This window comes from Homo sapiens, chromosome 4 (genome assembly GCF_000001405.40).
Source record: "Homo sapiens chromosome 4, GRCh38.p14 Primary Assembly".
Taxonomy (NCBI): Eukaryota; Metazoa; Chordata; class Mammalia; order Primates; family Hominidae; genus Homo; species Homo sapiens.
The window spans coordinates 84,552,260-84,564,371 of record NC_000004.12 but is presented as its reverse complement, the minus strand read 5'-3'; the positions used below and the strand labels follow the sequence as shown (position 1 = coordinate 84,564,371).

Below are 12,112 nucleotides of genomic sequence, written 5' to 3'. Positions count from 1 at the left end.
CAAGTCCAAAAGAGAAATAAAAGGAATTGATTCTTTGTCATTTATTTATTTAGACAACAAATATTTACTCTGAGCCTGGTGGATACAGCCGTGAAGAACAGCTAGTCTTAATTTGTGCCATCCTTTTCCCAGAGCTTTGCATATCAGTCATTCAACCCTCACAACACTCTTATGCATGGGTACTTCAGTAATCATTATCTATTTTACAGATGAGGAATCAAAGCAAGGAGAGGTTGAATATCTTGCCCAAGGGCACTTTCTTAGAAAACGTCAGCAGGACACAGGCAGTTTAGTGTTAAAGCCCATTCTCTTAAAATTCACAGCTTCTAGGTGAACAAAACAGGCATGGTCCTTCCCTTAGGTAGCTTACAATATTCTCAGGTGCTATTTCCTTTAATAAGATATGCTATGTGCAAAACCCAAGACTGATTAATACAAGGTAAATATACCTACTGACTTTCAAAGCATGCGAATATGTATTTGCACTCGTTAGTTTTTCATCTTATTATAGGGGAGTAATATTTTAAAAATCACAGATATTAGTAAAATATTCAGTAATTATGGTCTAGTCTAAAGTGCTTATGTTTGATTATGCATATTTGTTAAATATGGATAAAAATCCAGAAAGACATTAAAATACAAATCAATCTGAGCCTTATATGAAACTATTCTTATTAATGTGACATCTATGCAGAAACATTTCATAAATACTTACAAGTTAAAAGGTTAACATAATTTAGTAAACCATGACTGAGTATCACCCATTCAGCCTGTTTTCCATGCTAAGAATTCTTAGAATTCCTCTGAAACGATCCAAAACAACAGAAAAAGAGGGACTCCTCCTTAACTCATTTTATGAGACCAGCATCATCCCGATACCAAAACCTGGCAGAGACACAAGAAAAAAAGAAAATTTCAGGCCAATATCCCTGATGAACATCGATGCAAAAATCCTCAATAAAATACTGGCAAACCGAATCCAGCAGCACATCCAAAAGCTTATCCACCATGATCAAGTCAACTTCATCCCTGGGATATAAGGCTGGTTCAACATATGCAAATCAATAAACGTAATCCATCATATAAACAGAAGCAATGACAAAAACCACATGATTATCTCAATAGATCCAGAAATTCAGCATTCCGGGACTGTTAGCCAAGCTGTGTCTCATAATAGCTCCCTTGAGTAGTCAGTGAGAACCCTGCCCATAAAGGATGTCCTGGTTCTGAAGAAAATATGAAGGCAAGGGTTTTACTTACTTCTTAAAGCTTGGTAAACGGTCATAGATATTACTTTTGTGGTGTTTCAGTTTGTGTCTTCTAGAGCTTTTGTAAGTTATTGACTTTCTCAGTACAGAGGTCATGGTATTTCTCATTTTTTACAAAGACATTTTGCTTAGAGGGCATGGATAAAATTAAATTTGGTGGTTGGGAAAGATGGAGATATTATGGATTTAGGGAAAAATTATCCAAAAATATTTACTCAGAAGAGGAAGAAATCTAAAGGCAAAATATAATAAAAAAATTCATGTTCAACTAATTTACATGATTAGTTTAGGTGACTAATTATGGACTGAAATTATTACAACATTTATTTTTGGCTATTATTGCATAATAAGGAAAATGGAGAGGCCTTTGGAGAGCTGTTACAGTGAGTCCCTGGCTGACACTTAGTTCTAGTCTTTCTCAGTTCCTTGAAATGAACCTGATTTGATGAAATGGTTTGATAAGACAGATTTGCTTCCAAATAACCCAGTGGAGGGGTTGGAGGGAAATGAGTGGGTGTATAGATTAAACAAGATTGACCACATGTCGATAATTATTGAAATGGGCTTAATGGGTTCATTTTGTTCTTTCTTCTTTTGTAATTTTGAAACATTTCATAATAAAAGTTTGAAAAGAGAAGTCACTTTTAAAAATAGATTTTACTATTTAAAGCAATTTTAGGTACACTGCAAAACTGAGCAGGAGGTACAGAATTCCCACACACCCACTGCCCCCACACATGCACATCCTCCTCCGCTGTTAACATCCTGCACCCGATTGGTACATTTGTCACAACTGATGAACCGGCATTGGGTACATAATTATCGATGCAACTCAGTAGTTTAAATTGGGGCTCGCTCTTGGAGTTCTTTGTTATATGGATTATGGCAAATGTATAATGACAAGTATTCACCATTTAGTATCATATGCAACAGTTTGACTGCCCTTAAAATCCTTCTGCCTATTCATGCCTCCCTCCCCACAACCGCTGATAGTCACTAATCTTTCACTGTTCCTATAGTTTTGTCTCTTCCAGGATGTTGTATAGTTAGAACTGCAAATCACTTTTTAAAATTTCAACTCAAAGTTAAAATCAGTATATTGTACATTACATCCATTATTTATGTCCAAACAAAAAGAATGCGAATATAATGAAATTTGAAAATTTAAAACTTTTCCACTAAAGGATATGTGGGAAATATGTAAAAAAACCATCTCAGAGAGTGGTGCCTTCATCTCAGGAATGAATACAAATCAATCTCCTTTTTGTCTCCTTGAATCGGCTTATCTTCTCTTTGTCTTCGAAGATGCCTCCTGGTTTTCTTAGATTCCTTTAGATTGAAGACTCGCATTGGACCTGTTTTCTTGTCTTGGCCTTAACCCTCTTCTTAAAGCCCCACTCCATGTGAGTGACCCAGGTAAGATCTTTGCTCATCTGTCCCTACAGTGGAACGGATATCAGGCTTAGAAATAAGCCAGGCCACACATTTCCTAGCTAAGAAAAGACCCCATTTGTTCTTTTCATGTTTGCAATGACGGATAATATAATCAGAAGAAAATTTTTTTGAATGTTAACTTAAACTCCTTGTCTAATTTAATCTTCACAACAGCCTTAACAAGGTAAGCGTTCATATTGTTGGTATTTTGTAGATAAGGACACTGAGGCAGCCAGGCATTAAGTAAGTGGTCACATTTGCCCTGCTGGCACGAGGCACATGAACCCTGGAATGGGAATTAGAAGGCCATGCTCTCTTTTTGCTTCTGCCGCAAAGCAGGTGTGCTCATTCAAAAGGGAGCACTTCAAAAGGAGACATGCCTAGGCTTCATTGAATCTCTTTTTGGGGCATTGTTTTCAGTTAAATTTTCAACTAAATGAAATGTGTTCAAATAGTGTAAAGTATATCTCTTTACCTTTTTTCTTTCATTCTTACATCCCTATCTGAGTCCATTTTGTGTTGCTATAACAGAATACCTAAGATGGGGTAATTTATAAAGAAAAATTGTTTATTTGGCTTATAGTTCTGGTGACTGGAAATCCAGGATTAGGCAGCTGCATCTTGTGAGAGCCCCAGGCTGCTTCCACTCCTGGCAGAAAGTGGAAGAAGTAGGTGTATACAAAGAAGTGACATGCGAGAAAGGAGGCAAGAGAACAAAACCAAAGAAGCCAGACTCTTTTTAATAACCACCTTCTTGGGAACTAATCCATTCTCGAGACAGCAAGAGCTAACTCGCTACTGAGCCATGCACCAAGCCATTCATGAGGGATTCACACCATCACTCAAACACTTCCTGATTAGAGACCCTGAGCCAGATCTGCCTAGTTAAACTGCACGTAAATCCTGGGATAATTTGGAGGTTTTTTTGTTTTTGTTTTTTTTGTGTTTTTGAGACAGTGTCTCACTCTGTTGGCCAGGCTGGAGTGCAGTAGCATGATCATAGCTCCCTCCTGGGCTCAAGCGATCCTTCCACCTTAGCCTTCCAAGTAAGTGGGGGCACAGGCACAAGCCACCACTTCTGGCTTATTTATTTATTTATTTACTGAGACAGCGTCTGGCTTTGTCGCCCAGGCTGGAGTGCAGTGTGTGATCTTGGCTCACTGTAACCTCTGCCTCCCAGGCTCAAGTCATCCTCCCACCTCCTGAGTGAGCCTATTTATTTTTATATTTTGTAGAGACAAGATCTTCCTATGTTGCCCTGGCTGGTCGCAAACTCTTAGCTATAGCAATCCTCCTGCCTCAGCTTCCCAAAGTGCTGTGATTATAAGCATGTGCCACCATGCTCATTTGTTATGCATCAATAGGAAATTAATTTTACAAGTGAGAAAACTGAGGTATGAAAAAGTTGAGTGAATTGTCCAAGATCACTCAGCTAACAAGTTGTATTGCTGGGCAAAGATCATAATGTATTTTCTTTTCATTTGAACATCATTTATCAGTGGCACATTTTCTTGGTCACTTTTTGAAGACTTTTTCATGGGGGTGGGGTTAATAATATAAAAAAGATGCTTGTTACATTATTATTTTTTTTTTTTGAGACCGAGTCTCACTGTGTCCCTCAGGCTGGAGTACAGTGGCACAATCTCGGCTCATTGCAACCTCCGCCTCCTGGGTTCTAGAGATTCTCCTGCCTCAGCCTCCCGAGTAGCTGGGACTATAGGCACCCACCACCACGCCTGGCTAATTTTTGTATTTTTAGTAGAGACAGGGTTTCACCATATTGGCCAGGCTGCTCTTGAACTCCTGACCTTGTAATCTGCCCACCTCGGCCTCCCAAAGTGCTGGGATTACAGACGTGAGCCACAGCGCCCGTCCTTGTTATACTTTTAATTAGTAAAGTTATTCATTGTTCATTGAGCAATGAAGAATTTGGGTTTTTAATTTTTTTAGTCTTGATTCCAAAAGAATAATTACATAAGAATTGGAAAAAATGACGGTAAATTTAAAATGACTTTCGTATATTTGCGACATGCATGGTACCTAATTGGGGAGTGAACACATGTTCTTAGTGCGATCCTGGTTTATGCCTGTTTTGTCGTGTAATTATGAATGGTACTCCCTTTTACACTCAAAAGTGGACTATAAATCATATGCTCACTGTGGGTAGACCAAGTCAACAAATTAGTAGTTGTTTATTTCCTACAACATCAGCTCCCATTTCAACCAGAGCTACCTGCTTGACCCCTAAAGGCTTAAACTCATTCATGTGCATTCTCAGATTGGTTCTGGCCAGATCAGGCCATCCTTAGCACATCCTCATGTAGAACACCTTCAGCTCAGAATCAAGCTACACCTTTGGGCTCATTCTCCTTCTAGTGGAAAGAGTGGGCTTTGCAGTGAAACAAATCTTCTCTTAAACCACAGCTCCATGACTTACCAGCCACAGGATTAGGCTAATTTATTTACACCAGGCTGTCCAATAGCACTTTTGCTATAATGGAAATGTTCTAGAACAGCACTGTCCAATATGGCAGCCACTAACCATATGTGGCTACTGAGCCCTTGCAGTGGGGCTAGTGCTAATGATGAACTTGATTCTTGGTCTTATTTAATTTAAATAAAATTGAAAAATAAATTGTCACTTATGGCCAGTGGCTGCCATAGTAGACAGTGCAGAATCTTTTTGAGCCTCAGCATACTCTCTTAAAAAATAGAGATAATAATATCTACTTTCCAAGGTTGTAAAAGATTTCAGAAAATGTTTCACATATGATTGGCACTCAATTTTCATTACGTTTATGTAGACTGCTAGATTCTGTTCTCCAACTAAGATGACCAGCTCTTTGTCTCTTTACCTTGACATCTCCTTCTCTCTCACTGCCCTTTTATTCAATCAGTCATCCCCGGCGTTAGTGTTCTGGATTTTGACCATTCTAATAAGTGTATAGGGCTATCTCGTTGTTGTTTAATTTCATTTAATTTAATGATTACATATGATGTGGAACATCTTTTCATATGCTTATTTGCCATCTATAGCTCTTCTTTGGGAGGTATCTGTTAAGGTCTTTGGCCCATTTTTTTTAAAATTATAATTTAAGTTCTGGGATACATGTGCAGAACGTGCACATGAGATAATGTCTTTTGCAGGGATGGATGGACCTCAAAGCCATTATCCTCAGCAAACTAATGCAGGAACAGAAAACAAAACAGTGCATGTTCTCACTTATAAGCGGGAGCTGAATAATGAGAACACATGGACACAGGGAGGGGAACAACACACACAGGGGCCTATTGGTATGGGGGCGGGGGAGGGAGAGCATCAGGATAATACCTAGGCGATGGGTTGATAGGTGCAGCAAACCACCATGGTGCATGTTTACCTATGTAACAAACCTGCACATCCTGCACATGTGTCCCACAGCTTACAATAAAATAAAAGAAAAAGAAAAAAAATTTTAAAAGACTATGTGCTCTGAAATCTGATAACCAGTATGGATATAGAACCCAGCTGTGGTGCTTTGGGCATCTCTTGGAGAACATTCTGAGCCTCGTTTTTCTCATCAGTAAAATGAGTGTAGCCATATTTTAATGTTTTATGTTGTTAGTTTTGTATGTATTTATACTTTAGTTAGCTGTCTAGTAAGTTTTATTTTATTAACGCCTTTTTGTAGGTTCTGCTCTTTACAAATAATACTTTTGTTTCCTTTATGAAGCCTCTACAGGTATTATCAAAGAGAAGATGAGAACCTTGAACTGAGAGGACCTCACAAGCCTGTAGTGAAGGAAGACCCTGTTGCCAAGATGAGGTGAGATTGGTCTCTCCTTAATGAATTGTTGACATTCTAGGGAAGGGGCTAGAGATCCAGACCTGTTTGAAGAAATGCCAAGAGTTGGTAAAGCTGGAGGACACATGGCAAAGCACATTCATGGAGGACCACCAAGTGTTAAACTGAAGAAACTAAATCTTCATCAGGTTAGAGATGATGGTGATGTTGAGGAGCTTCAAGGGATGGGTATAAAATCAGAGGCTGACACACACAAATTCAAGAAACAAAGCAGGAACAAGTTGGGAGAGATCGAGCTTTAGATGTGAGCAGGGCCAAGTCACCCAGTGTTCCCCTTATTACTGTGTGCTGGCTGTATGGCAGATGAGTGGTTTAGCCCGGGTGTAAGAACCTGTGTCCCAGCTGGAGGGTGCCTGAACTGATGTGATGTCTGTGCGGGTGTCTAATCCATGGCAGATATATCAGCTGCTTAGCCAGACATTTCCCCATTTGAAGGCTCTTTCTTTACCCTTATCCCTTACCACATTGCTATTTCCAGGTTATAACCTGCAAACCTCTTACTGTTTGTATTAGTCAGAGTTGTCCAGAGAAACAGAACAAATAGGGTATGTGTATGTGTGTGCATGTGTGTGTGTGTGTGTGTGTGAGAGAGAGAGAGAGAGAGACAGGGAGAGAGAGGAGACAGAAATTTTTAATTTTTTTTCTTCAACTTTTATTTTAGGTTCAGTGGTACATGTGCAGGATGTGCAGGTTTGTTACATAGGTAAATGTGTGCCATGATGGTTTGCTGCACAGATCATCCCATCATGTAGGTATTAAGCCTGGCATCCATTAGCTATTCTTCCTGATTCTCTCCCTTTCCCCACACCCCCCTCCAACAGGCCCCAGTGTGTGTTGTTCCCCTCCCTGTTTCCATGTGTTCCACCATTCACCTCCCACTTATAAGTGAGAACATGTGATATTTGGTTTTGCTGAGGATAATGGCTTCCAACTCCATCCATGTCCCTGCAAAGGACATGTTCTCATTCCTTTTTGTGACTGCATAGTATTCTATGGTCTATATGTACCATATTTTCTTTATCCAGTCAATCATTGATGGGCATTTAGGTTGAGTCCATGTCTTTGCTATTGTGAATAGTGCTGCAATGAACATATGTGTGAATGTTTCTTTATAATAGAATGATTTATATGTCTTTGGATATATACCCAGTAATGGGATTGCTGGGTCGAATGGCAGTTCTATTTTTAGGTCTTTGAGGAATCACCACACTGTCTTTCACAATGATTGAACTGATTTACACTACCACTAACAGTGTAAAAGTATTCCTTTTTCTCTGTAACCTCACCAGTATCTGTTCTTTTTTGCCTTTTTTATAGCCGCTCTGACCGCTGTGAGATGTTATCTTTTTTTTTTAGACAGAGTCTCGCTCTGTCATGCAGGCTGGAGTGCAGTGGCATGACCTTGGCTCACTGCAGCCTTCGCCTCCTGGGTTTCAGCGATTCTCCTGCCTCAGCCTCCCAGGTAGTTGGATTACAGGCATGCGCCACCACACCCAGCTAATTTTTGTATTTTTAGTAGAGATGGTGTTTCACCATGTTGGCCAGGCTAGTCTTGAACTCCTGATCCCAGGTGATCTGCCCACCTTGGCCTCCCAAAGTGCTAGGATTACAGGAGTGAGCCACTGCACCCAGCCTGTGAGATGGCATCTTATTGCAGTTTTGATTTTCATTTCTCTAATGACCAGTGAAGTTGAGCTTTTTTTCATATATTTGTTGGCTGCATGTATGTCTTCTTTTGAGAAGTGTCTGTTCATGTCCTTTGCCCACTTTTTGATGGGTTTTTTTTTTTTTTCTTGTAAATTTCTTTGAGTTTCTTATAGATTCTGGATATTAGACCTTTGTCAGATGGATAGATTGGAAAATTTTTCTCTCATTCCGTAGGTTGCGTGTTCACTCTGATGATAGTTTCTTTTGCTGTGCAGAAGCTTTTTAGTTTAATTAGATCCCCTTTGTCAATTTTTGCTATTGTTGCAATTGCTTTTGGTGTTTTCTTTATGAAATCTTTGCCTGTGCCTATGTCTTGAATGGTATTGCCTAGATTTTCTTCTAGGGTTTTTATGGTTTTGGGTTTTAACTTTAAGTCTGTAATCCATCTTGAGTTAATTTTTATATAAGGTGTAAGGTAGGGGTTCAGTTTCAGTTTTGTGCATATGGCTAGCCAGCTCTCCTAGTACCATTTATTAATTAGGGAATCCCTTTCCTGTTGCTTGTTTTTGTCAGGTTTGTAGAAGATCAGATGGTTGTAGGTGTGTAGTCTTATTTCTGTGATTTCTATTCTGTTCCATTCGTCTATGTGTCTGCTCTTGTACCAGTATTATGTTGTTTTGGTTATTGTAGCCTTGTAGTATAGTTTAAAACCAGGTAGTGTGGTGCCTCCAGCTTGGTTCTTTTTGCTTAGGATTGCCTTGGCTATATGGGCTCTTTTTTTGGTTCATATGAATTTAGAATGGTTTTTTCTGATACTGTGAAGAATGTCAATGGTAGTTTAATGTGAATAGCATAAAACCTATAAATTACCTCGGGCAATGTGGCCATTTTCACAATATTTATTCTTCCTATCCATGAGGATGGAATGTTTTTCCATTTGTTTGTGTCATCTCTGATTTCTTTGAGCAGAGGTTTATAGTTATCCTTGAAGAGGTCCTTCATGTTCCTTGTTAGCTGTATTCCTATATATTTTATTCTGTTAGTAGCAATTGTGAATGAGAGTTCATTCCTGATTTGGTTCTCTGCTTGCCAGTTGTTGTTGTATGGAAATGCTAGTGATTTTTGCACATTGATTTTATATCCTGAGACTTTGCTCAAGTTATCAGTTTAAGAAGCTTTTTGAGCTGAGATGATGGGGTTTTCTAGATATAGGATCATGTCATCTGCAAACAATGATACATATATTTTTTTCAGATAGAGTCTCACTCTGTTGTCCAGGCTGGAGTGCAGTGGCATGAGCTTGGCTCACTGCAACCTTTGCTTCCAGGCTCAAGTGATTCTCTTGCCTCAGCATCCCAAGTAGCTGGGAGTATAGGCATGCGCCACCATGCCTGGCTAATTTTTATATTTTAGTAGAGATGGAGTTTTGCCATGTTGGGCAGGCTGGTCTTAAATTCCTGACTTCAGGTGATCCACCCACCTCGTCCTCCCAAAGTGCTGGGATTACAGGCGTGAGTCACCACACCCGCCTGAAAACAAAGATAATTTGGCTTCCTCTTTTCCTATTTGAATGCCCTTTATTTCTTTTTTCTCTTGCCTGATTGCCCTGGCCAGAACATCCAATACTCTGTTGAATAGGAGTGGTGAGAGAGGGCATCCCTGTCTTGAGGTGTTTTTCAAGGGGAAGTCTTCTAGCTTTTGTCCATTTAGTATGATATTGGTTGTGGGTTTGTCATGCTCTTACTATTTTGAGGTACGTTCCTTCAACACTTAGTTTATTGAGAGTTTTTAACATGAAGGGATGTTGAATTTTATTGAAGGCCTTTTCTGCATCTGTTGAGATAATCGTGGGGTTTTTGTGTTTAGTTCTGTTTATGTTATGAATATGAATCACATTTATTGATTTTTGTATGTTGAACCAAACTTGAATCCCAAGGATGAAGCCAATTTGATAACGGTGGATAAGCTTTTTGATGTACTGCTGGATTTAACTATCCAGTATTTACTGAGGATTTTTACATTGATGTTCATCAAGAATATTGGCTTGAAGTTTTCTTTTTTTGTTGTATCTCTGCCAGGTTTTGGTATCAGGATGATGCTGGCTTCACATAATCAGTTAGGCAGGAGTCCCTTCTTTTCAATTTTGTTTGGCATAGTTTCAGTAGAAATGGTACCAACTCTTCTTTGTAAATCTGGTAGAATTCAGCTGTGAATATATCTGGTTCTGGGTTTTTTTCTTTTTTTTTTTGGCTTGTAGACTACCTCATTTCCAGAACCAATTATTGGTCTATTCAAGGATTCTGTTTCTTCCTGGTTCAGTCTTAGGAGGATTTATGTGTCCAGGAATTTATCCATTTCTTCTAGATTTTTCTACTTCATGTGCATAGAGGTGTTTATAGTATTCTCTGATGGTTGTTTGTATTTCTGTGGGGTCAGTGGTAATAATATCCTCCTTATCATTTCTGATTGTGTTTATTTGATTCTTCTCTCTTTTCTCATTATGTAGCCTACTGCTCTATTTTATTAATTTTTGGGAAAAAAAAACCCAGTTCCTGGATTCATTGATTTTTTTGTAGGGGTTTTCGTGTCTCTGTCTCCTTCAGTTCAGCTCTGATCTTGGTTATTTCTTGTCTTCTGCTAGCTTTGGGGTTTGTTTTCTCTTGGTTCTTTTGTTCTTTTGTTCTTTTGTTATGATGTTAGGTTGTTAACTTGAGATCTTTCTAGCTTTTTGATGTGGGCATTTAGTGCTATAAATTTTCCTCTTAACACTGATTTAGCTGCATTCCAGAGACTCTGGCACATTGTCTTTGTTCTCATTAGTTTCAAAGAACTTGATTTCTGCCTTAATTTTATTATTTACCTAGGTGTTGTTCAGGAGCAAGTTGTTCAATTTCCATGTAGTTATGTGGTTTTGAGTTAGTTTCTTAAATTTGAGTTCTAATTTGATTGCACTGTGGTCTAAGAGACTGTTTGTTATGATTTCAGTTCTTTTGCATTTGCTGAGGAGTGTTTTGCTTCTGAATATGTGATCAGTTTTAGTTTAAGTGCTGTTGGCAATGAGAAGAATGTATATTCTGTTGTTGTGGGGTGGAGAGTTCTGTAGATAGCTATTAGGTCCAATTGATCCAGAGCTGAGTTCAGGTCCTGAATATCTTTGATAATTTTCTGTCTCAATGATCTGTCCAGTATTGTCAGTGGGGTGTTAATGTCTCCCACTCTTATTGTGTGGTAGTCTAAGCTCTTTGTAGATCTCTAAGAACTTGCTTTATGAATCTGGGTGCTCTTATATTAGGTGTATATATATTTAAGATGGTTAGCTTTTCTTGTTGAATTGATCCCTTTACCATTATGTAATGCCTTTCTTTTTCTTTTTTTTTTTTTATCTTTGTTGGTTTAAAGTTTATTTTGTCAGAAATTAGGATTGTGACCCTTGCTTTTTTCTGTTTTCCATTTGCTTAGTAAATTTTCTTCCCTCTGTTTATTTTGAGCCTATGTGTGTCTTTGTACTTGAGATGTGTCTCTTGAAGAGAGCATACCCATGAGTCTTAGCTCTTTATCTAGCTTGCCATTCTGTGTTTTAATTGGGGCATTTAGCTCATTTACATTTAAAGTTAGTATGGTTATGTGTGAATTTGATCCTGTCATCATGATGCTGGCTGGTTATTTTGCAGACTTGTTGATACAGTTGCTTCATGGTGTCACTGATCTGTGTGCTTCAGTGTGTTTTTGTAGTGGCTGGTACCAGTTTTTCCTTTGGATATTTAGTGCTTTCTTCAGGAGCTCTTGCAAGGCAGGCCTGATGGTGATGAATTCCCTCAGCATTTGCTTGTCTGAAAAAGATTTTATTTCTCCTTTGCTTATGAAGCTTAGTTTGGCCAGATATGAAATTCTGGGTTTAAAATTCTTTTCTTTAAGAAA

The 12,112-nt window shown here is 38.7% G+C and overlaps 1 long non-coding RNA gene across 6 annotated transcripts in view; it reads left to right on the top strand.

Moving 5' to 3' along the window:
- The window catches only part of LOC102723338 (uncharacterized), a 55,402-nt gene that overhangs the window by 17,850 nt on the left and 25,440 nt on the right, over positions 1–12,112 (top strand). For 4 of the 6 annotated variants that reach the window (XR_007058461.1, XR_007058458.1, XR_007058459.1 and 1 more), the window contains exon 3: positions 6,416–6,508. This is a non-coding gene — a long non-coding RNA (uncharacterized LOC102723338). Of the gene's footprint in view, positions 1–2,573; positions 2,685–6,415; positions 6,509–12,112 lie in introns of all 6 variants that reach the window. The other 2 variants (XR_007058460.1, XR_007058456.1) reach the window with 2 other exon arrangements.